General features: G+C 43.1%; 1 protein-coding gene across 12 annotated transcripts in view, besides 8 other annotated features; it reads left to right on the plus strand.

The window, feature by feature from the left end:
• Nucleotides 1,282-1,839: an enhancer, noted in NCBI's record as "NANOG-H3K27ac-H3K4me1 hESC enhancer chr5:81267375-81267932 (GRCh37/hg19 assembly coordinates)". NCBI's record gives its function as "activates a minimal SCP1, AML or CMV promoter by ChIP-STARR-seq in primed H9 embryonic stem cells {active_cell/tissue: H9 hESC(primed)}" and the evidence as "EXISTENCE:reporter gene assay evidence [ECO:0000049][PMID:30033119]".
• Nucleotides 1,410-1,739: a silencer, noted in NCBI's record as "silent region_16148". NCBI's record gives its function as "represses an Ori minimal core promoter by ATAC-STARR-seq in GM12878 lymphoblastoid cells {active_cell/tissue: GM12878}" and the evidence as "EXISTENCE:reporter gene assay evidence [ECO:0000049][PMID:35858748]".
• The window catches only part of ATG10 (autophagy related 10), a 284,111-nt gene continuing 261,278 nt past the window's right edge, over nucleotides 1,749-24,581 (plus strand). For 2 of the 12 annotated variants that reach the window (NM_001131028.2, XM_017009944.2), the window contains exons 1-3: nucleotides 1,749-2,032; nucleotides 5,919-6,053; nucleotides 17,285-17,404. In NM_001131028.2, coding sequence (NP_001124500.1) covers nucleotides 17,297-17,404 — 108 coding nt within the window. In that variant the 5' untranslated portion in view covers nucleotides 1,749-2,032; nucleotides 5,919-6,053; nucleotides 17,285-17,296. The other 10 variants (XM_047417800.1, XM_047417803.1, NM_031482.5 and 7 more) reach the window with 7 other exon arrangements.
• Nucleotides 1,840-2,395: an enhancer, noted in NCBI's record as "NANOG-H3K27ac-H3K4me1 hESC enhancer chr5:81267933-81268488 (GRCh37/hg19 assembly coordinates)". NCBI's record gives its function as "activates a minimal SCP1, AML or CMV promoter by ChIP-STARR-seq in primed H9 embryonic stem cells {active_cell/tissue: H9 hESC(primed)}" and the evidence as "EXISTENCE:reporter gene assay evidence [ECO:0000049][PMID:30033119]".
• Nucleotides 1,910-2,149: a silencer, noted in NCBI's record as "silent region_16149". NCBI's record gives its function as "represses an Ori minimal core promoter by ATAC-STARR-seq in GM12878 lymphoblastoid cells {active_cell/tissue: GM12878}" and the evidence as "EXISTENCE:reporter gene assay evidence [ECO:0000049][PMID:35858748]".
• Nucleotides 9,800-10,357: an enhancer, noted in NCBI's record as "OCT4-NANOG-H3K27ac hESC enhancer chr5:81275893-81276450 (GRCh37/hg19 assembly coordinates)". NCBI's record gives its function as "activates a minimal SCP1, AML or CMV promoter by ChIP-STARR-seq in naive H9 embryonic stem cells {active_cell/tissue: H9 hESC(naive)}" and the evidence as "EXISTENCE:reporter gene assay evidence [ECO:0000049][PMID:30033119]".
• Nucleotides 10,436-10,730: a silencer, noted in NCBI's record as "tiled region #409; K562 Repressive non-DNase unmatched - State 15:Elon". NCBI's record gives its function as "represses a minimal TATA promoter and a strong SV40 promoter by Sharpr-MPRA in K562 cells {active_cell/tissue: K562}" and the evidence as "EXISTENCE:reporter gene assay evidence [ECO:0000049][PMID:27701403]".
• Nucleotides 12,028-12,585: an enhancer, noted in NCBI's record as "NANOG-H3K27ac hESC enhancer chr5:81278121-81278678 (GRCh37/hg19 assembly coordinates)". NCBI's record gives its function as "activates a minimal SCP1, AML or CMV promoter by ChIP-STARR-seq in naive H9 embryonic stem cells {active_cell/tissue: H9 hESC(naive)}" and the evidence as "EXISTENCE:reporter gene assay evidence [ECO:0000049][PMID:30033119]".
• Nucleotides 12,586-13,141: an enhancer, noted in NCBI's record as "NANOG-H3K27ac hESC enhancer chr5:81278679-81279234 (GRCh37/hg19 assembly coordinates)". NCBI's record gives its function as "activates a minimal SCP1, AML or CMV promoter by ChIP-STARR-seq in naive H9 embryonic stem cells {active_cell/tissue: H9 hESC(naive)}" and the evidence as "EXISTENCE:reporter gene assay evidence [ECO:0000049][PMID:30033119]".

Raw genomic sequence — 24,581 nt, forward strand, 5'->3', positions numbered from 1 at the left:
CTCATGTATATATGCTAAATAAACTTGCATGCATTTCCTCCAATTACTCTGTCCTTTGTGAGTAGATTTTTCGGTGAACCTCAGCGATCAGAGAGGAGAGCTACAGGAGCCCTGCTTGAACCTTGAAATGCTATGATGACAGACCGTAGCCTTAAAGCAGTTTATAGTGTTGTAGGGTAAACACATAAACAGGCCAATATCATTCTTTGCCATGAGGGATATGATGAGAGGAAGTACATGGAGGTTAACTGAGTTATTTCTTTTAGTTTCTTTGTTTTTGGCATGTGAATTATGAAACTTTAAAACACCTCCAGTGCAAAAAAAATTTTTTTTAAATTAACATGGTGGTTGGTGCACTGTGTTTCTAAAATATGGAGTACAATGTAAAGCAATGCATTCTTTTTTTAAAAATTTATTGTTATTTTGAAAAATTTTTGTAGAGATGAGGTCTCACTGCCTTGCCCATAGCTGGTCTTGAACTCCTGGGCTAAAGCGATCCTCCTACCTCGGGCTCCCAAAGTGCTGGGATTACAGGCGTGAGCCACTGCGCCCAGCCGCATTCTTGTTTTCATCTGTGAAATACGTTTTTAAGGTAAATACTTAAAGTTGATGGAGACACCTGGTCTACTTAAGCTCTCATTCAGAACACACTGCCTTGTGCTTTTAAAAAAATTAAATGGATAATCTAAATTGGCAGCTACCAATTAATTTATATCCATAGTTGCTAAAAAATGTTAGTGTAAGTTCATTTTTATTAGTCGCATCATTTTGAGTTTTAAACTATTTCACATGCAGTAAAATTTATACCTCTTATGGGTTTTGTCAAACAGTGGTTTAGTCACCAACACAATCACGGTATAGAAGCTCTCAAGCTCCTTTTCAGTCACCCCCTTCCTCCAGCCCTTTGCCCTGGTCGCCACTGATCAGTATTCTCTCCTTTTAAAAACACTTATTATTTGGAAATAATTATAGACACAGGAAATTGCAAAAATACTACAGCACCTAGAGTCCCGTGTACCTATCACCTAGTTTCCTCCAATGGTGACATCTTACACAACTGTAGTACAAGATCAAAAAACTATGTCATGTAGTTTGAAGGCAGGTTTTCCTTTCACTTCTTCGCCTGCATTTTCTCCTTTCATTTCCAACAAATTTAACTCTGTTGTTAGAAGGAGCAGATGCTAGTTTTCTTTCAGATGTCTGCTATTTCAGTTCGATTACCCCTGTTACTCCTACATTTTTTCTAGTCTTTATCCCCATCGTTTCGCCCCAATTTAATTTTGCTGCTAGTTTTTTTTTTTTCTCCTCTGGGATATGTGCCACAGATGGTACTATTGTCAATATTCGAATTCCTAACTTCTCCCTCCATCCGTAAGTTTTCAAGGGGTAGCCGTGCTTGTGCTTAATTGTGGTGTTTACAGGACTTTTTGTAGCGTAAGCATGCTGGCATGGTTCCCCAACCTCTTAGGGGGATGCTAGTAACCCGCTCCCCCGTCAACGAGCCGCCTTTGTGCTCCGCGGAGGGCACCGCCTGCGTTGGGTTGGAGGTGGGGGTTGGCGGGGGAGAGCTGCCCGCCAGGCGAGGGGCGGGGCCTTGGCGGGGGTGGTCGCGGGCGGCGGGGAGGTCTCGCTTCCCTCCTCTCCACCCGCTCCCAGTCCCGGCCTGGGTCTCAGCCCCGCCCTGCCCAGAGCGCGCGGCCGATCACGTCACCGGCCTGCGCTAGGCGGCCCCCACGGCGCGGGAAGGCGCAGTGCGCACGCTCCGACTCGGCCGTGGCGGACCTGACTGAAGGAGGCCGCGGACCTGACTGAAGGAGGCCACGGCCACTTCTGGTTGGCCTCGGGGCGCGCTGGCTCGGCTCTTCCTCCGCCCTCGAGGCCCCCGCAGTCCCATCATTCAGTTCCGTAGGGTCACCGGCGCGGCAGTGGCCTCGCAGGGCGCTGGGTCCCTCTCCCCAGCTCTCCTCCCCCTGGCCCCGTCGCCCCGCCCTCGCCGGGCTGGGCTGCGGGGTCAGGGGCCGAGCGGAGAGGGGTGAGTATTCCCCACAGCCCTTGCCGGTTGTCTCCTCCCGGCTCTGCTTCCCACACGGTCCTTGCCCCACTCCTAGGACAGGGAGGAAGGGCACGCGCGGGTAGGCGGGAAACAGCCCAGTCCTGAACAAAAGGCCGGGGAAGCGGGTCCCCGCCGGTAACTGCAGGCCTGTGCTGGCCGCCGCGAGCGGGGAAGGGCGAGGACACTCCCTCCTCGGGGACCCGGTCCCCGTCGCGCACACGGTGTCACCAGCACACCTGGCCCAGTACCCAAAGCACCCTCGAAGTGGGTAGTAACTACTTTGTGTTTAAAATCCACATACTGATAGCAAATCTTTGGTTGAAACAGTATTAAATTACTGGGGCTTCCAGTGGCTGAGTCCAACTTAATTTGAAGTTTCAGATTAAGTATCAGGAGGAATAACTTGATATTTAGAGCCAACAGGTCTTTCTTTTTTTTTTAAACCTCCCAAAAAACCTATAAAATCAAGAATTGGCGGGGAGGACCGGAGAATGATAAAGGAATAGTTGACTGATTTATAGAAACTTTTAGTGGCGGTAAAAATTACAAAAGTATTGGAAATAAGGCAAAAGGACAGCATGTTTTTTTCAGAGTCAAAATGGAGCCTAACAGGCCCACCTGAAGATGATTTAGATGTCTAGGGGACTATATTTTGTTTGGCATGATGATATTGATTAGGGCCTAGGCTTTGTAGTTAACATCTTTTTCATTAATGGAGATGCAAATTATTTCTGAGTGGGAGAGAAAAAAATACAGTACTCCTAAAGGTTGTAGTTTTAGTGCCTTGTAGGATATTAGCCATTTTTCTTTTCTTTTTTTTGAGACAGAGTCTTGCTCTGTCGCCCAGGCTGGAGTGCAGTGGCACGATCTCGGCTCACTGCAACCTCTGCCTCTCGGGTTAAAGCAATTCTCCTGCCTCAGCCTCCCGAGTTGCTGGGACTACAGGTGCCCGCCACCACGCTCAGCTAATTTTTGTAAGTTTAGTAGAGACGGGGTTTCACCATATTGGCCAGGCTGGTCCGGAACTCCTGATTTTGTGATCCGCCTGCCTCGGCCTCCCAAAGTACTGGGATCACAGGCGTCAGCCACCGCGCCCGGCCAATATTAACCATTTTTCTGTCTAACCTATCAAACTTACCATCCTTTCTTCAGTGTTTATGCTCAGTTCCTGAAATGCTTTTGAGCACACTAAGCCATTCAGCTTGTTCCATTGTGAGTTTAATAAATCTTTGTCACAGGTTCATTTTGAGTCATATTTATAACTTTTGTTATTGGACAATGGTCTCTATTCTTTAGTGGCAAAAACAAGTTTATGCTTCTCAGGATGGAAGGACATAGGCCCTGTGTGGTACTCAAATACATCTTAGGACTCCAAGTAGAATCCTTTCTCATTGCTTCAGAAAGGTTAAACAGTGACCAGAGGAAATGTTACAGAACTTTGACCAAAAAATAAATCCTGAGTATTGAGAAATTAAAATTAAAGTCTTGCAAATTGCAGAGTTTAAAAATTGTTATTGATATTTTAAATTGAAGAAATTAGTGGAAATAGTAGTTCTAAATTGCATACATTTGAATGTGGAGTGTTAAAAGATTATTTCCCTTGTCTCCTGTTTTATTTAGGATAAGGTTAACTGAGATTTTGGTACATGGTGGGCCATTCAAGTTATGTATAATGTTTTGTGACAAACTACATGTCGACAGTAGTTCCTGATGCCTAATACATTTCTGAGAAAGGTAAAGCAGCCCTTTAGGAAAAACAAGGAGAGTAAAGCTTACAGAAGATTTCTTAAGATGGGCTTGATTTGATTATCTTTGAAACCTAGAGATGTGTTTGGGACCCAGGAGGTTGTGTTTGAATCATAAATATAATCAGGGAACCTTAAGAAAAAAAAAGCCATGGAGATCATTTGGTGATTATCTATTGAAAACAAATGTTTTCAGGGGACAAGCAGCCTGAGTATAATAAAGCAATTAGAAAGTTGGGGAATGGAGAATAGGAGAATAAGCTGTACCTGAAGGAATCTTAATTAGGGAATGGTTGCTGAAAACTGCAGAGACAAGACTTCTCTAATGTGCTTACCTGATCACATAGTTTTATAGGATCCAGGAAGAGGGCTTAGTAATAGGAGTGTAGCTTTGAAGCTAGGGTTATTTCATATCACTGTCATGTAACATCTTTCTGAGAAAACCTTTTTATCATCTCTTCTGAGCTCAAGAACCTACACTGGTTTCCTATTGCCAATTGTTTTAAATGGAATCTCCTTTGGGTTTTTTGGTTTCTTCTTTTGGTTTTTTAAGAAGTGGGGTCTCTAAGTTGCCCAGGCTGGAGTGCAGTGGCTATTTAGAGGCACAATTAGAAGGCACTACACAGCCGTGACTCCTGGCTCAAGCAGCCCTCCTGCCTCAGCCTCCTGAGTAGTGAGGACTAAAGGCGAGAGCTATGTCTCCAAGCTTCCTTTGAGTTTTAAGACTGTAAACTTCCTGCACCCTGTCCCCAGATTCTCAATATCCCTCAATCTATACTCTCCATTCAGGTTCTTTACTGGTCTACCTCATTTCAATCTGTTCCAAGGTTCACTGCCACTGCCCCATCCCTTCTATTTCTTTCTTTCTATATCCTCCTATAATTCAAGGATTAACTGAAATCTAACTACTGTAGGGCCCAGGCTCTGGTTCCAGACTTCCTTAGGTCAAATTACTACACTTAACAGCTGTGTTACCTTGGACAAGTTACCCTCTCTGTCTCAATTTCCTTATCTATAAAATAAAGAAAATCCTAGTAATTTACCTCAAAAAGTTGCTCTGAGGATTTGTTACTAGTTCTTAATACATAGTAATATATGCAATTTTAATTATTTTAATCCATACTAATTCTTTAAACAGTGGTTGTACAATTTATCACTGTTTTTTGTTATCCATTATTCTCTGATGTTCTTTTCAATGTGAATCTTTACTTAAAAATTTGATTACTTTGAGAAGAATGTGTATTCTGAAAAATAAAAAAATATTTGGTTACAAACTATTGAAGGCAAAGACTGTATTATACTTCTTTTTGAAAGTCTCTTAAACCAAGGCTGGGTACAGTGGTTCATGCCTGTGATTCAGCACTTTGGGAGGCTGAGGCAGGCAAATTGCCTGAGCTGAGGAGTTTGAGACCAGCCTTGGCAACATTGCAAAACCCTGTCTCTACAAAAAATACAAAAAATTAGCTGTGCATGGTGGTGCACACATGTGGTCCCAGCTACTCAAGAGGCTGAGGCGGGAGGATTGCTTGAGCCTGGCAGGTGGAGGTTGCAGTCAGCTGAGATGGTATCACTGCCCTCCAACCTGGGTGACATAGTGAGACCCCCCTCTCAAAAAAAAAAAGTGTCTCAGACCTCTCAGGATGATTTGGGGGCTCAGTGTAATATTTTTTTCTTCCCATCTTACTATCTAGTTTTCTTTTTCTTTTTTGTTTTTTATTGTACTTTTGTAGCTTAGAGTTTTAAATTTAAACTCAATTTTGTTCCAAAAGTATTTGAGGTAGCTTAAACTATATAATATATAATAACATACAAAATAAAGAGAATCAAGATCATAAAAATATGAAGCTTGAATAGAAAGATGTGATTAGGGTGAGTTATACTGAAAATATACTGTGAATGTTGTAGAGTTATTTATTTATTTATTTATTTTATCTTTTTTTTTTTTTGAGATGGAGTCTCACTCTGTCGCCCAGGCTGGAGTGCAGTGGCGTGATCTCGGCTCACTGCAGGCTCCGGCCCCCGAGTTCACGCCATTCTCCTGCCTCAGCCTCCCGAGTAGCTGGGAGTACAGGCGCCCGCCACCTTGCCCGGCTAATTTTTTTTTTTTTTTGTATTTTTAGTAGAGACGGGGTTTCACCGTGTTAGCCAAGATGGTCTCGATCTCCTGACCTCGTGATCCGCCCGCCTCGGCCTCCCAAAGTGCTGGGATTACAGGCGTGAGCCACTGCGCCCGGCCTGTTGTACAGTTATTAAAGGTAGGCCACAAAGTTCCAAGCTTCATGGTGGTCAAAGGAAAGAAGGAAACATATTTATTGCCCAGCAAAAACAGCTTCCTGTGTTAAAATAATTAATTGGGAGGCCATTGCCTGAGGAAGCTCCAGTGCCCTGGGTTCCTACATAAACAGACTTACACCAAACTCAGTGTAAATGGTTGTATTCTAGGAAAATGAAACTTTAGCTTAACCAATCAGAAACCATCAACTAACCTCTAACCACTGACTTTTACTGGAATGATCCAAGTAAGGCTACTCCACTTTGACCAATCACAGATTTTCTTGGCCTTGCTTCTGCCGTTCACTCTTCAAAAGCCTTCTAACTGTGTCCTTTTGGTGCAGCCCCATATTGCTTGCATTCTGGAGCTGACCAATTCATTAATATGCCTAGTGTTCCATTATTGGAACGCTAAGCTTGTGGGAGTTATTTATATCCTGCTCATGGTCATCGCCAAGGTCTGATTTTTCACAAAAAAAATTTGCAACCTCCAGCATAAATGGGTTAACCATTGTCTGCTTAAATAAACATTTTCTTGTTTTTGTTTTTTGAGACAGTATCTTGTTGTGTCGCCCAGGCTGGAGGGCAGTAGTGCAGTTATGGCTCACTGCAGCCTCAATTTCCTGGGCTCCAGCTATCCTCCCACCTCAGCCTCCCAAGTAGCTGGGACTACAGGCATGCACCACTATGCCAGGCTAATTTTTGTATTTTTTTGTAGAGGCGGGATCTCACCATTTGCCCAGGCTGGTCTTGAATTCCTGAGCTCAGGCAATCCACCTGCCTTGTCCTCCCGAAGTGCTAGGATTACTTTGCCTGACCTCAAATAAATCCTTTAAAATTTTAATGTGCCTTGGTTTATCTTTTAGCACCTAGTAAATATTTAGTGAGTGAAATGGAGATTGTGATCACAGATTTTAAAGGATACGCTGAGGCCCTAGAGTTAAATTCTCTAGACTTTGTTAATTCCTTACCTACTTCCCAGTATTTCTCAAAGGGAGCTCTACTGGCATTTTTACAGACAACTCTTCACTGTGTGGGATTGTCCTGTACATTGTAGGATGTTTATTTTACCTGGTCCCTCAGCACTAAATGGCAATGGCAAACTCTAACTTCTTTTTAACAATCCAATATGATCCCATTTATTTCCAAGCAGCCCCTTGAAGAGCGGGTTCCCCATAAAGTTGGGAACCATTAGACCTTATTTGCCCATACTCTTCTCCACCCGAGCTATGCTCCATCCACTGACATTTGTTTTATTTTTAAACCTTGCATTCTTTTCAGACCCTGTCTTTGCAGGAGCTCCTCAATCTTTTTGGAGTGACTTTGTCTCCACCTGGTTGGCCCTTACTCAAATTTCAAAATTCATTTCTTCAAGAATTGAATTCATGTGTTCAGAACTCCAAGTTTTGGAGTCTTCCCCAGTTTTGCCAGGAAGTTTGACATTCTTTTCTAGGAGGACACTCACAGCAAGCACTAGGGTATTGTAGGTACTGAGTGAATGAATGAAAAACTTGTGGAAATAGAAGGCACATTAGTCTCATCTCTGAACAAAGACTTTTGCAAGAAGAAAAATTTAAAGGGAATGTGCCTTTCATTACAAAAATGTCCAACCATTTCCTTTTTTTATTTTCCAAAATAAAAATATGGCACTTGGTAGTATATTTTAAAGACACTTTGCTCTGTAATCTGTATTCAGACTGGCACTGATTCTGTAGCTTCTGATATTGTGTTGGTCTTTTTTTTTGAGGCGGAGTCTTGCTCTGTCGCCCAAGCTGGAGTGCAATGGCATGATCTCAGCTCATTGCAACCTCTGCCTCCCAGGTTCATGCAATTCTCCTGCCTCAGCCTCCCAAGTAGCTGGGATTACATGTGCCCGCCACCACGCCCAGCTAATTTTAGTATTTTTAGTAGAGATGGGGTTTCACCATGTTGGTCAGGCTGGTCTCAAACTCCTGACCTCAGGTGATCCATCCACCTTGGCCTCCCAAAATGCTGGGATTACAGGCATGAGCCACTGCTCCTTTCTGTCTCTTCTTATTTTTTGGATACTTTTGGCCAAGGATACCCCATTATCTCCTTATTTCCTAATTCTGGATACTTGGCATATGTGCTGACTAGAGTTTGTTGTACTAGTCCTACTACCCACTGTTCAAAGGCAGCAAGAGAGTTTGAGCTGTGGATCAGCTCAAATTGTCATCAGTGGTGGAACATTTTTTCTTATGTGCTTGCAGAGTTTTATTAAAAAATTATCTTTTGATAAAAGTAATGATACTGGTATCAGAAAGATTGGATGTCATATAGATCTGTGGTTTTTTTTGTTGTTGTTTGTTTGTTTTAGAGACAGGATCTTGCTGTCTCCCAGGCTAAAGGGCAGTGTCACGGTCATAGCTCACTGCAACCTTGAATTCCTAGCCTCAAGTGATCCTCCTACCTCGGCCTTGCAAAGTGTACATCAGTTTGTGTAAGAAAGGTCCAAGAAGTGAACAGGCCTGAAAGTTGAAGAAAGGTACTATAAATGAGAAGAGGTGTATAGAATAAGTCCATTCAAATTTTTGAATTTTTCTTTTTTTTTTTAAGATGGAGTCTCGCTTTGTCGCCCAGGCTGGAGTGCAGTGGCACAATCTTAGCTCACTGCAACTTTCGCCTCCTGGGTTTAAGTGATTCTCCTGCCTCAGCCTCTGGAGTAGCTGGGACTACAGGTGCACATCACTGCACCTGGCTAATTTTTGTATTTTTAGTAGAGAAGGGATTTTGCCATGTTTGCCAGGCTGGTCTTGAACTCCTGACCTCAGGTGATTCTCCTGTCTCAGCTTCCCAAAGTGCTGGGATTACAGGCGTGAGCCACGGTGCCTGGTCTGAATTTTTCTTTTATTCATTTACAACTTAAAAAAAAATGTTTACTGGCTGGGCACGGTGGCTCACACCTGTAATCCCAGCACTTCCAGAGGCCGAGATGGACGGATCACGAGGTCAGGAGATCGAGACCATCCTGGCTAACACGGTGAAACCCTGTCTCTACTAAAAAATACAAAAAATTAGCTGGGCGTGGTGGCGGGCCCCTGTAGTCCTAGCTACTCGGGAGGCTGAGGCAGGAGAATGGCGTGAACTCGGGAGGCGGAGCTTGCAGTGAGCCGAGATAGCACCGCTGCACTCCAGCCTGGGCAACAGAGCGACACTCCGTCTCAAAAAAAAAATGTTTACTGTTTGCCTATCTGTTATAGATGCTAAGATACGAAGTGTAAATCAAATCCCCAGACATTGCAGACATTGCTCTATCATCTGGCATTTGTTGCAGTGGGTGAAGATGGCAGAGGCTACCCTGATTTTTGCTAATTGTAGGTAAACCTTTTTTTTTTTTTTTTTGCCTGCATCTTTTTTTCTTTCTAGTCTTTAAATTAAGATATTCCTGTAGGCTATGTTTAGGCATAAGTTTCTTTCCAGCAGCTTTGTTTTTTTTAGAAACATGGTGAATTCTTTCAATTTATAGGTAAATATTTTAAATCTTTTTTTTTTTCCATCTTAGAACAGTTTTTCAGTTGTACATTTGCTTATGATTGTAGTTCAGAAATTCCAGTTATTTGTAGGTTGGACCTGTGTTCTTTGTCCTTCCATCAAACAATATGCATTATTTTCATCATGGTCTTTTTTCTTTTGTGTGTTTGGAGAGGATCTTATGTGCTTATACACTGAAACACGAATGTGATTTTTTTCCAGCTTCTATACATCTCTCTGTTGCCTTGAATGTAGAATTTTTATCTCTACTGTTACGTGTTTGAATTTCCTTCCAGTTTTTTCTTATCCAGTTTCCTTTTTCATCTCAGCTGTTTTTCCTTCCTCATCTCTTGCTTTTAGAGGTCTTTCCCTTTCTCTTTTTCTTTTTAAAATTGGGAACATAGAGTAGATAATTCCTCGGTTTGATTTCCATATTCCTAGTGTAAGTCCATTACAGGAGCAAGCTTTCCCTCTTCCTGTTTATGGTAGTTCCCCTCTTTTCTTATGCAAGAGCTTCTTAAAGGTCTTGTGTTGTTATTAATGTTTTTGGTTTACTTACCTTGACAAAAGAGGGGCATGTTGACTGGTCAGAGTGACCAAGTGTTCCTTCGTCTCTCTCACTACACTTGGAAGCTGGAGGAATCTTCCTCTTTATGTTAGCTTGGAAAGCAGATGAATGGGTACAACGAAATTTATGAAGGATAGATCATTTTCTATACTTAGGAGAGGTCTTCCTTTCCTAGTGTTGAATCTTTCGGTCCTGTAACTATAATGAGGGGAGTGTTTTTGTGTGATTTGAAATAATTTATAGTTTTTTTTTTTTTAGTTTTTTGGGGTGTTAGTGGTGAGACTGTACTATGCTGAGAGCTCATTCTGTTCCTGCAGCTACCTGTCGCTCGCTGCACAGTACTCAGTGCACCTCAGGGCTTTACCTTCCACATCTGGCCATGCACACTGCACTACTGGGAGAGAACTGCCTTGAAAGAGAATTACCAGTGGAGCTAGAAACCAGGAGGGGAGGGGCAACTCAGGATCTGTTTCTCTGAAGGGAATGGGAGAGAGTGAAATGACCCTCTTTCCCCTGACCTAGTGATAGAGAGGTCAGAGCAAGCCTCAGCTACCAACAGAGATTCCTCATTTCCAGCCAGGTACAGTGTTGCCTCTCATTTAAACTTTGATTTGGAATATGTATTCCAATGGGAAGGCAAGGAGGGAGAATTGAGCCTGCTGGTCATCTGTTGTTAGGACTGATACGACTTCTCTTCTGATGTGTCTCTGTGCTATTTTATTGGATTGCCCAGGGCCATGCCTTCTGTGTCCCACCCAGGCTGCCAAATGTCTTGAAATCCAGGTCTTTTACCAGCCCTGTCAAAGTGATTCATCTTTTGTCTAGGGATCATGCTAATCTTTTAGCATGATTCCCTTTGAAAGTATCCCAGGTGCTAATTAAAAGTAATTATTTTGGGTCTTCAGAATCAGGTTATTTTTCTGGCCAAGGCCTAGGATTCCACATTTGAATTTGCACTGTGGGTGCTTCTTTGCTGTCTAAAATTTGAGGACCACTGCCTAAGGACCTTGCTAGGTAAGTGATTAAATTAATCTGAATCAATTCAAGCCAAATTGCCATAAAAGTAGTGGGTTGATGTTTAACTCTCCTACCTGATAGTGCATGTTTTTTAAAAAAGAGTCTACACTTAGAGTTATAAATAATGTGGAATTGTTGCTAGGAGGGACAAGTATTCAGGAAATTGCCTACTTTATTAGTCAAAAATGATTTTTAATGTTTAAATGTATGCATCGCATGTTCTGTGGTAATCACATTTTTGTAAATGATCTTAAGTTCTGGGAAATTCAGTTATATTTCTTATAGTGTTTTAGTCCTATTATGACTTTGATGTACATTGATTTATAGATTCATCAAATCAACGTCTCCAACTAAAACAATAACAAAGAATTAGTTCTACACACATTAGATTAAAAATCACATTAAACAGTATGGAGAGTGGTAGTGAAAAAATTGTTTTCAATTAAAAAGGATCATTTAAACAATGATTATATACAGTGTTAGAATTCACTAAGGCTGCTTTTCTGGAAAGATATATTTGAACAGCAGCAGAATAAGCTTCTTCTATCCTTCTAGTCTAAGGGCTAACTTACAGTTTGGAAAGACTACCCTCACTTGGAAAAACAGAAAATTATTCTATTTTTCCAATCTTTAGTCTCTGCTAAAGCAGTTAGAAAAAGGTTTTGATTGAATGTCACAAAACAAAAACAAAAACAAAACAACACAACTCTTCAGCCAGAGTAAGACTCAAGCAAAATGGATGTATTAACAACTTATGCCAGGCGTGGTGGCTCACGCCTATAATCCTAGTACTTTGGGAGGCCGAGGTGGGGTGGTGGGTGGATTGCCTGAGCTCAGGAGTTCGCAACCAGCCTGGGCAACACAGTGAAACCCCATCTCTACTAAAATACAAAAATTCAGCCTGGTGTGGTGGTGTGTGCCTGTAGTCCCAGCTACTTGGGATGCTGAGTCAGGAGAATCGCTTGAACTCGGGAGGTGGAGGTTGTAGTGAACCGATATCATGCCACTGCCTGGGCGATTCCGTCTCCAAAAAACAAAACAAAACAAAACAACTTATACTTTATGACATGAGGAGCGCTGACTCATTTCTAACCTACTTACAACTAGAAATGAGAGATTCATTGTTTTTTTTTTTTCCCCTTTTATTTATTTATTTATTTTTATTGATCATTCTTGGGTGTTTCTCGCAGAGGGGGATTTGGCAGGGTCATAGGACAATAGTGGAGGGAAGGTCAGCAGATAAACAAGTGAACAAAGGTCTCTGGTTTTCCTAGGCAGAGGACCCTGCGGCCTTCCGCAGTGTTTGTGTCCCTGATTACTTGAGATTAGGGAGTGGTGATGACTCTTAATGAGCATGCTGCCCTCAAGCATCTGTTTAACAAAGCACATCTTGCACCGCCCTTAATCCATTTAACCCCGAGTGGACACAGCACATGTTTCAGAGAGCACAGGGTTGGGGGTAGGGTCACAGATCAACAGGATAAGAATTTTTCTTAGTACAGAACAAAATGAAAAGTCTCCCATGTCTACCTCTTTCTACACAGACACGGCAACCATCCCATTTCTCAGTCTTTTCCCCACCTTTCCCCCCTTTCTATTCCACAAAACCGCCATTGTCATCATGGCCCATTCTCAATGAGCTGTTGGGTACACCTCCCAGACGGGGTGGTGGCCAGGCAGAGGGGCTCCTCACTTCCCAGTAGGGGCGGCCGGACAGAGGTGCCCCTCACCTCCTGGACGGGGCGGCTGGCCGGGCGGGGGACTGATCCCCCCACCTCCCTCCCGGACGGGGCGACTGGCCGGGCTGGGGGCTGACCCCCCCCCCCACCTCCCTCCTGGACGGGGTGGCTGGCTGGGCGGGGGGCTGACCCCCCCACCTCCTTCCCGGACGGGGCAGCTGACTGGGCAGAGGGGCTCCTCACTTCCCAGTAGGGGCGGCCGGGCAGAGGTGCCCCTCACCTCCCGGACGGGGTGGCTGGCCAGGCGGGGGGCTGACTCCCCCACCTCCCTCCCGGACGGGGTGGCTGGCCGGGCGGGGGTCTGACCCCCCCCACCTCCCTCCCGGACGGGGCAGCTGGCCGGGCGGGGGGCTGACCCCCCCCACCTCCCTCCCGGATGGGGCCGCTGGCCGGGCAGAGGGGCTCCTCACTTCCCAGTAGGGGCGGCCGGGCAGAGGCGCCCCTCACCTCCCCGGACGGGGCGGCTGGCCGGGCGGGGGGGCTGACCCTCCCACCTCCCTCCCGGACGGGGTGGCTGCCGGGCGGAGACGCTCCTCACTTCCCAGATGGGGTGGCTGCCGGGCGTAGGGGCTTCTCACTTCTCAGACAGGGCGGCTGCTGGGCGGAGGGTCTCCTCACTTCTCAGATGGGGCGGCCAGGCAGAGACGCTCCTCACCTCCCAGACGGGGTCGTGGCCAGGCAGAGACGCTCCTCACATCCCAGACGGGGCAGCGGGGCAGAGGCGCTCCCCACATCTCAGACTATGGGCGGCCGGGCAGAGACACTCCTCACTTCCTAGATGGGATGGCGGCCGGGAAGAGGCGCTCCTCACTTCCTAGATGGGATGGCGGCCGGGCAGAGACGCTCCTCACTTTCCAGACGGGGTGGCAGCCAGGCAGAGGCTGCAATCTCGGCACTTTGGGAGGCCAAGGCAGGCGGCTGGGAGGTGGAGGCTGCAGCGAGCCGAGATCACGCCACTGCACTCCAGCCTGGGCACCATTGAGCACTGAATGAACCAGACTCCGTCTGCAATCCCGGCACCTCGGGAGGCCGAGGCTGGCGGATCACTCGCGGTTAGGAGCTGGAGACCAGCCCGGCCAACACAGCGAAACCCCGTCTCCACCAAAAAAATACGAAAACCAGTCAGGCCTGGCGGCGCGCGCCTGCAATCGCAGGCACTCCGCAGGCTGAGGCAGGAGAATCAGGCAGGGAGGTTGCAGTGAGCTGAGATGGCAGCAGTACAGTCCAGCTTCGGCTCAGCATCAGAGGGAGACCGTGGGGAGAGGGAGAGGGAGAGGGAGAGGGCGAGAGATTCATTGTTTAGGATCAGATGAGAATTGAAATTCATCTTTTTACTGAGAGTTCACTTGAGTGACTGTTGTCACCTGTAGTCTGAATTTAGTTTAAGATAGCTTAAGTCTGGAAGAATAGGCAGTTCACATATCTAAGATTTTTCATTTGCAAAATAAGGATTATTCTTGCCATTATTGCTCAATAAGCCACAGTTGTGGTTATTTCCATTTTTAGCCATATTTTCATCCATCTCATAGGAAGTTCTGAGATTCAGATTTCTGCCTCTACTAGTTTATGAATTTGGTAGAGGACCAGAAAGTATTACAACTTGAAAACTATGTATAAAAATGTTGATTGAATTATATTTACATTTTTGAGTTGAAATATTCTTGCTTGATCAAAAAAACAATAATTATTCCATGATATTTCATTATGGTACATTATGATGAATCCAGTTGAGATGGATATATTTTTAATATACCATACTTCCTAATTTTGTAATCAAGCCATAAGTGTTTGTATTATTGTATGTAGCATCCTTCAGCAAAGCCTAGTCCTTAGATAATTTTAAAAGTATTCAACCAAATATCAATTAGTGTTTTGATGTTCAGTCATCTTGCTTGTAGCACAGTGCTGTTAATTAGATAAACTATGGCTATTGAATGAAATTTTATGTTTAAGTATTTTCAATAGTTAAGTAAATCTCAAGTAACTGGAGGGCTTAGGCTACTTTGTTCAGTTTTGTTACTAAGTAAGAGTTTGTTGGAGTTTTAAAAATATTACTAAGTATATTAGTGTTCTTTATGAATGAAAGTTAATTTTTCTTTGATTTGGTATCTTTCAGTATATGTCAGGATCATCATACAGTTGGAAAAATTTCCTCTGGCTACACCATATTAGTCTTCTCTTGCTAGTCTAGTTTTGCATTCTCTCTGATTGATGAAATGGGTTCTGTTACCATCTATGTAACGTTGATATAGAATCGGTATTGCCAGCCCGGATTTCTCTTTCCTTCTGAGTTCAAGGCACACCTCAAAATGCCTGCTAGACCCCTTTACTTGGACATTCCACGGGCATTTGAAATTCAAACTCAATATGGCCAAATTAAACCCAACTCTCTTCCCAAACCTGCTCTTCCTCCAGAGACCTCTGTCTTACTCAATGCACCACCACCTAAAGGCAGAAAGCTTGGAATCTTTTCTCTCCCCTGTCCCTCACCAATCTTTTCAGTTGTATTGTCCATACCTAGTTCAACAGCAGTTTATTTTTCTTAGAGAGACTGACTTTTATCGAGTCTTTCCAAGGCATTTGCTTATAGAAATAACAGTTGTCTTTTTTACTTTTTTTCTGAGACGGAGTGTCGCTCTGTCGCCCAGGCTGTAGTGCAGTGGCGCGATCTCGGCTCACTGCAAGCTCCGCCTCCCGGGTTCCCGCCATTCTCCTGCCTCAGCCTCTCGAGTAGCTGGGACTACAGGCGCCCGCCACCACGCCTGGCTAATTTTTTGTATTTTTTAGTAGCGACGGGGTTTCACTGTGTTAGCCAGGTTGGTCTCCATCTCCTGACCTTGTGATCCGCCTGCCTCGGCCTCCCCAAAGTGCTGGGATTACAGGCGTGAGCCACCGCGCCTGGCCACGCCTGCCTAATTTTTTGTATTTTTAGTAGAGATGGGGTTTCACCGTGTTAGCCAGGATGGTCTGGATCTCCTGACCTCGTAATCCGCCCGCCTCAGCCTCCCAAAGTGCTGGGTGAGCCACCGCGCCCAGCCCTCTTTTTTACTTTGATGTTTGGTTTGTTTAACGTTTAATTACAGTATATATTTATGATAGGAGAATAAGGTTTGTGAACACACAGTTAACTGATGGGAGCAGAGGCGCTTCGTGATCAGCATGCTGTAGACATGAGTCAGTGTCGATTAATCTGGCAAGTTGGTTAGATGGAGGTTGGATAAGAGAGTTTCTACTGTAATTATTTGTGTTTTTTATCTCCCTTTGTTAGAATATGAGCTCTTACAAGGCAAGGACTATATATTTTTTCATTTTTGTATACCTAACCTTTACTTATGCACAGTGCCTGCTACTTAATAGATATTCACTATGTATTTGTTGGATGAATGAACAAACTCTTACATAGATTATACTGAATTTGAATAATCAGAAATGACACTGGTTTAGGAATTATCTAGTATAGACAGATCATTGGCCTTGAAGCCAAACAGGGGTTTAAAATCCTTGCAGTTTATATGATTTTAATTCAATTGAACAAAGGCATCTAGAGTGTTTACTATGCTAAGCACCAAAGATATAGAAACGGGAATAAAAAAACAAAAACAAGCTGGGCACTGTGGCTCATGCCTGTAATCTCAGCACTCTGGGAAGCTGAGGCTGGTGGATCGCTTGAGGTCAAGAGTTTAGGACCAGCCTGGCCAACATGGTGGAACCCTGTCTTTACTAAGAATACAAAAATTAGCCAGCGTGGTGGCTTGCAACTGTAATCCCCGCTCCTCGAGAGGCTGAGGTGGGACAATCACTTGAACCTGGAAGATGAAGATTGCAGTGAGCCGGGATCATGCCATTGCACTCCAGCCTGGATGACAGAGCGAGTCTTCATCTCAAAAACAACAATAACAACAACAACAAAAATAAAAACAACAAAAAAATGGGGATAGGTGAGAAAGATAGAAAAAACAAAAATACTTTTTTATTTTTTTTGAGATGGGGTATCACTCTGTCGCCCAGGCTGGAGTAGAGTGGCATGATCCTAGCTAACTGCAGTCTTGAACTCCTGGTCTCAAGTGATCCTCCTGCCTCAGCCTCCTGAGTAGATGAGACGACAGGTGCACACCACTATGCCTGGCTAACTGTATTTTAGTTTGTATATAGACAGAGTCTTGCTGTGTTGACCAGGCTGGTCTCGAACTCCTGGGTTCAAGCTGTCCTCCTGCTTTGGCCTCCCAAATTGCTGGGATTACAGATGTGAGCCACCACGCCTGGCCAAAACCATTTTTTAGTGGCCTTGAGGCCATTCTACATCCCAAATTTTGGTTTATTGACAGAAATAAATCAATTGGCAGAATTCCTTTCAATATAATTCTAAAGTTGATGCTAATACTTAGTTTTTGTATTGCAGTTATCATTTAACATGGAAGAAGATGAGTTCATTGGAGAAAAAACATTCCAACGTTATTGTGCAGAATTCATTAAACATTCACAACAGATAGGTGATAGTTGGGAATGGAGACCATCAAAGGTAAGAATGGAAATGTTTGTTTTCTGTCTCAAAAGAGGATTTTTTGTTTTGTTTTGTTTTGGTTTGTTGACAGGTAAAACCTCCATAATTGAAATTAAGGTATGAAAACTGGTTTGATTTAGTAAAAGTCTTAAATTGAAGAATGTCTTACAACAGATGTCCATTTTCTTACTTCAACTATATATATTGATTATTATCAGGCTAATGAAGTATTATTTTGAAAAGTCCTTACGTAACCTGCTTAATTTAATAGATAAAAATTAGCATATTAATTATCTGAATGTAAACAGATGTTTCTGTGGTGCTTCAAATCATCAATCCTAAGTTAATATTCTTAGGAAACTACTTTCGTCTGGAGAGTAAAAAGACAATCTTGAAACCAAACCATAAACAATCACAAATTCTGAAATATTGAGGACTGTATTAATTGGGAATTTCCTATTAATATAAACATATTTCAAAATATTTTTTCTTTTTTGAGATCATCTCACTCTGTCCCCCACGCTGGAGTGCAGTGGCATGATCTTGGCTCACTGCAACCTCTGCCTTTGGGGTTCAAGTGATTCTTGTGCCTCAGCCTCCCTAGTAGCTGGGACTACAGATGTGCACCACCACACCTGCCTAAATTTTTTGTATTTTTAGTAGAGATGGGGTTTTGCCATGTTGGCCAGGGTGGTCTCGAACTCCTGGCCTCAAGTGATCCACCCGCCTCAGCCTCCCAAAGTCCTGGGATTATAGGCGTGAGCCACCACACCCAGCCCCAAATTTTTTTGTCTTTTTGAGATGGATTCTAGTTCTGTTCTGGAGTACAGTGGCGCAATCTCGGCTCACTGCAATCTCCACCTCCTGGGTTCAAGCGATTCTTGTGCCTCAGCCTCCCGAGTAGCTGGGACTATAGGCACACACCACTGTACCCGGCTAATTTTTGTATTTTGAGTAGAGACGGGGTTTCACCATGTTGGCCTGGCTGGTCTTGAACTACTGACCTCAAGTGATCTGCCTGCCTCCACCTCCCAAAGTGCTGGGATTACAGGCGTGAACCACCACGCCTGGCCCAAAGTATTTTTTTCTCTTGGTTCGATTCAGTAATAATGTAAAAGGCCTATGTACTTATTTCCACACTTAGAGTTAGTTCTCTGTCAAAAACTGTTTTTTTGTTTTGTTTTGTTTTGAGACAGTCTTGCTTTGTCACCCAGGCTGGAGTGCAGTGGCATGATCTTGGCTCACTGCAGTCTCTGCCTCCTGGTTCAAGCAATTCTCATGCCTCAGCCTCCCAAGTAGTAGCTGGGATTTTAGGTGTCCACCACCATGCCTGGCTAATTTTTGTATTTTTAGTAGAGACAAGGTTTGGCCATGTTGGCCAGGCTGGTCTTGAACTCCTGACCTTAAGCCACCCTGCCTCAGCCTCCCAAAGAGCTGGGATTACAAGCATGAGCCACCACACTTGGCCTCTGTCAAAAGCTTTTTAGAGTTCCTTGAAATCCCTTCCTTAGAGAATAGGTAAATTTTCTCTACTTAACATTTTACCCGGTTCCCGAAAAGTGATGAATCCTGATTCTCTGCTGGTTGGATATGTTTCCTGTATGCACTCTGAGGAACGAACAGTTTGGGTTGGATTTCCTATGATTCAGAACTGGGCCTGGGAGGCGTAGGTTTTGATCAGGTCCAGAGTGTCACTGGGGAAACAAGCCATGATTTCCTCTTGGGTCATGTGCAGGCTGAACTTTGACAGGGTGGTTTATGCATAGTTCAGAGGGAGGGTCGATGTGTTGTGGTAGAGTCCAGTCCCACTCTCTAAATAGTGATTAGACAGTTGATCAGCCCTCAGGAAGTCTCCCTCTCCAGGATGATGTGACTGTGCTAGCAACTTTCATTGGTTTTGTTCTTGGGTATATTTTATAGTTTTGTTTGCTATTATGTTTCAATTTTTTTTTTTTTTGAGACGAGTCTCGCTCTGTCGCCCAGGCTGGAGTGCAGTGGCACGATCTCAGCTCACTGCAAGCTCCGCTTCCCGGGTTCAGCCATTCTCCTGCCTCAGCCTCTTCGAGTAGCTGGGACTACAGGCGCCCGCCACCAGGCCTGGCTAATTTTTTTTTAATATTTTTAGTAGAGACAGGATTTCACCATGGTCTCGATCTCCTGACCTTGTGATCTGCCTGCCTCGGCCTCCCAAAGTGCTGGGATCACAAGCGTGAGCCACTGTGCCAAGCCTGTTTCAATTTTTATTCATCTTATTTTTTCTATGATTATTGCTGAGTTGAAACAACTGTAATTTTGTATATTAATTTTGTAACCATTCAGTCACCTTATTGAATTTCCGTATTTGTTTTCATGGCTTTTCAGTGGTTTCTCTTGGGTCTTCTAGGAATGAGGTCATCTGCAAACTAAGAGGTTTATTTTTTATTGTTTTTTAAATTGACTTCTTTGTGATAGTTCTCTCTATTATTTTATGCATTGACTAGAAAAATGTTAGGTGATGATGATAAATCTTGCCTTGAACCTGATTTAATATTAATGCTTTTGTTATAAAATGATTAAATAAAATATTGGTTGTTTATTCATTGAATGAGTATAGGTTTCTGACCCCTTTTGACCTGTAATAATTTGTGTGATTATTCCTTGGGGACTTTGCCTTTTCACCAGTTTTTTTTCTTTAAGAAATTTTTCTTTATCTTAAGCTGGAGGCAAGATGATAAAAATTCCTGTTAACCATTCCATTACCTGGCAGAATGTGGGAGGGGAAGGCTAGGGAAGGAGCTGGGACTGTGTATGCATTTGTGTTTGAAGGGTGAGGAGGCTGGTGCTGAGAAGGATCTTTAGTAGGGAAATTCTGTCTGTCAGAAGCTTCTCCACTGAAGTTGTAAACTAATGCCCCAGAACCAGTTTTCAGGATTTGTTTCTATTATTGACCTTTCTCTAAAAAGGGATGTGTAAGTCTAGCCTTCTGTTGGCTGCCACTGGTTGCTTAGGTAGGAAAGTTCCTTACCCTTTGGAGTGGGAGTTACACCCACTGCAATGATGAGCACTGAGATGGTATTGAAACATTACAATAAATGGGTCAGGCTTCCAGGGACAGATCAATAGGAAGACTGAGTCTGGAAATCTGTGGCTGACCAGAGTGCATGGCCTATTGCTAGGCTGGAAACAGGAGTCCAAGTGTTACCAGATCTTTTGATATTTTGAGAAAGGTTAAGCATTCAGATTTGGGTGGAGAGATCTCTGGATTTTTAGATGTTGGCAACTAATTAAAAAAGATTATTTTTCCAACAGTGAGGACCAAACGAAACATGTCAGTGATGCCCAATGGGATGGTCATTTTATGACCTCTGGGATTGGGTGTCTGTCTGGTATGACTGTGGTTTCTCTTCCAGCCCTGCCTCAGCACATGCTATTGAACTGAATTAGTGAAAGGGGCTCTAGGCAAAGCAGATTCCTGTGTTCTCAATTTGGGCATATTAGTATTTTTGCCACCTAATTTCTGCAATCCTGTGCCATTTTTCTAAAGGGAATTGTGAATCAGTCGCTTGGTTATATCCTTAAACCTTTCATTGTATTATGTAGCATCTCAAATCTTTTTCTGGTACTGTTTGGAGACAGTATTCTTATACTATTGTTTTGCTTTTCAGGCCTCAGAAATTTATTTTTTTTTAAATTGTTGTATTGATGTATAATTGGCATACAATAAACTACATATATTTAAAGTGTGTAATTTATTAAGTTTTGACGTATCTATAGACCTGTGAACCTTTACTAAAATCAAGAGTGAACATATTCATCACCCAATAAAGTTTCCTCATACTCCTGCTTTCCAATGCCTCCCTCTGCCCCTTTTTGCTCCTGAAACTTATTCTTAAAAAAAGTCTTGTTTACTTTGGGAGGCCAAGGCAGGTTGATTACCTGAGGTCAGGAGTTCGAGATCAGCCTGGCCAACATGGTGAAACCCTTTCTCTACTAAAAATACAAAAAATTAGCCGAGTGTGGTGGTGCATGCCTAAAATCCCAGCTACTTGGGAGGCTAGGGCAGGAGAGTCGCTTGAACCTGGGAGACGGAGGTTGCAGTGAGCCAAGATCATACTATTGCACTCCAGCCTGGCCAACAAGAGTGAAACTCCGTCTCAAAAAAAAAAAAAACTTATCTATACCTATGTATAGGGCTCCTTTATTTTATTTCATGTTTTTAGAGACAGGGTCTCTGCCACCCAGGTTGGTGTGATCATAGGTCACTGTAGCCTCAACCACTACAGCTCAGGTAATCCTCCCACCTCAGCCTCCTGAGTAGCTGGGACCACAAATGTGCATCACCATGCCTGGCTAATTTTTTTTTTAAATCGAGACAGGGTCTCGCTCTGTTGTCCAGACTGGGGTGCAATGGCATGATCATGGCTCACTGCAGCCTTGATCTCCTGGGCTTAAGTGATCCTTTCACCTCAGCTCTCTAAGTAGCTGGGCCACAGACACATGCTGCCACACCCAGCTAATTTTTTAATTTTTGTAGAGATGGGGGTCTCACTATGTTGCCCAGGCTGGTCTTGAACTCCTGGGCTCAAGCTGTCCTCCTACCTTGGCCTCTGAAAGTGTTGGGATTACAGGTGTGAGCCACCATGCCTGACCAAGGCTCCTTTAGAGTGTATATTGTCCCTCATACCTTCAGGTTTTATGGTCACTCATACAATCACTTTGGCACCATCCATTTTATTTTTATTTTATTTATTTATTTTTAAAATTAAATTAAATTTTTTTTTTTTGAGACGAAGTCTCTGTCACCCACGCTGGAGTGCAGTGGTGCGTTCCTGGCTCGCCACAACCTCTGCCTCCCAGGTTCAAGCAATTCTCCTGCCTCAGCCTCCTGAGTAGTTGGGGTTACAGGCATGCGCCACCAGGCCCAGCTAATTCTGTTTTATTTTTAGTAGAGACAGAGTTTCACCATGTTGGCCAGGCTGGTCTTGAACACCTGACCTTAAGTGATCTACCCGCCTTGGCCTCCCAAAGTGCCGGGATTACAGGTGTGAGCCACCGAGCCTGGCCCATTTTATTTTTTTTGAATTTGAACAGAATCCTGACAATATTTAGAGAACTGCTATAATTTAACTTTATAGAAAGGTGTAAAACATTACTTTTCAGGCAAAGTTGATGAGAAAAGCAGTGCGAATTAATGAAACATAAATTATTAAAAAGCTTAAAGTAGGCAAAATATTTTTAATATTTTTAATTTTTATATCTGGAGCTATACAGAATAAGAATACTTTAAATCAATATTTTTCAGTGAGGGTGGAATGCTCTTGACATCTAGGCAGGATAATTCTTGTTCCCCTACCTCTAACCTTTCCAAAATCCTCAGGAAGGTGGTACACTTGTTACACCCATTGTTTACCATGATGGTCTGTCAGATATTAAAGATAGTGGTTAAGAGCATGGTCTTCACAGTCAGACAGATCCAGGTTCAAATACCTTCTTTACCATTTACTAACTGGATTTTGGACATACTACTTAATGTCTCCAAACTCTATTTTCTTTATCTGTAAAGTAGGAATAACAATAATACTTACTTTATATGGTTGTTGTATAGATTAAATGTTATTTTGCATTCAAAGAGTTTAGCCTGATTTCTTTCCTTCTTTCTTTCCTTTCTTTCCTTTCTTTCTTTCTTTCCTTCCTTCCTTCTTTCTTTCTTTCTTTCTTTCCTTCTTTTCTTTTCTTTTCTTTTCTTTTCTTTTTTTTTCTTTTCTTTTCTTTTCTTTTCTTTTCTTTCCTTCTTTCTTTCTTTTTTTGAGGCAGAGTCTCGCCCTGTTGCCCAGGCTGGAGTGCAATGGTGTGATCTTGGCTCACTGCAACCTGTGCCTCCCGGGTTCCAGTGATTCTCCTACCTCAGCCTCTGAGTAGCTGGGTTTACAGGTGCGCACCACCAGTCCTGGCTAATTTTTGTATTTTTAGTAGAGATGGGGTTTCACGATGTTGGTCAGGCTGGTCTCAAACTCCTGACCTCGTGATCCGCCTGCCTTGGCTTCCCAAAGTACTGGGATTACAGACGTGAGCCACCGTGCCCAGCCTTAGCCTGGTTTCTGACACATAGAAAGCTGTGTCAGAATTTTTAGTTAGTTGTTTGAAAATTTCAGTGTCTTTTATTATAGAAATAATGCTATAAATGAAGTTGTAGTTTGGTTTTCAGAAAACTCTGTAAAAGTGTATTTAGCACCAAATACACTGTACTGGTTGATAGTATATTGTCTGAGTTTCTCTAGGATTATAAGGGGGAGCCAAAGAAGGAGAATTCTCTCTTCCTTTTTCAAGAGGAGCCTTGCCAAAATGTTTACCATCTTTTCTTTGGCAGCCCATAATCTCAGTGTTTCATATCGGCTGCCTCTACACTAATTCAGGACCATATAGCTTCTCACCTGAACCATTTCAATGGCCTGACAACTCTTCTCCAATTCATTCAACACATTTCTGTCATGGTTAATCCTTTAAGAAGTATCTTTGTAGAAGTCCCATTTTCTATATGATTTTTTTTCTTTGTTTCAGTTTGGGCTCTCTCTTGTCACAGAATAATATAGAAACTCCATCACAGAGTATTCCAGGCCCCGCATTGTGGCTTCCTGCTACCTTTCTAGCTTCATTGTCTACTCTAATTCATTTCCTTTCACGCTGTCTCCAGAGTCCTAAAAATGAAGGAAAAGCTATTTTGAAGAATAAGTAAGTAAACTTTTATCAGCACTAGAAAACAAAAAAATGTATCATCAAGGGATTATAAAGCTTGATGAATTTCTGAAAGGTAGAAAGAAGGAAAAATTGGACTGAAGAAAGAAACCAGATCCCAAAGCAGGGTTTAGAGAGGACTGTGGTGAAAAAGTGGAGGGTAGGGGAGCAGAAGGGAGGGCTCCAAGTGCAGAGATTGTGGATCCAAATGCAATTCTGAGTTCCTTACTCTCTGCTTATATAAGTTGTTTAGAAGTAAGCATATTAAGCTAATAAGCTTTAATTAAAGCCTCTTTTTTACTTAATTTTGGGTAATCAGTTTTACCCTTGATATCTTTATAGTCACTGCAGTTTTTAAGATTCTGTCTTACTCTAGCCTTCTTAGTTTGCAGAGGTGGTTCTTTTTATATTAGGAAAAATGTCAGGAGCAAATATGTGAATTATTAATGTTCTCCTAGAGTCACACTATAATCACATGGTCAGT

This window comes from Homo sapiens, chromosome 5 (assembly GCF_000001405.40).
Source record: "Homo sapiens chromosome 5, GRCh38.p14 Primary Assembly".
Classification (NCBI taxonomy): Eukaryota; Metazoa; Chordata; class Mammalia; order Primates; family Hominidae; genus Homo; species Homo sapiens.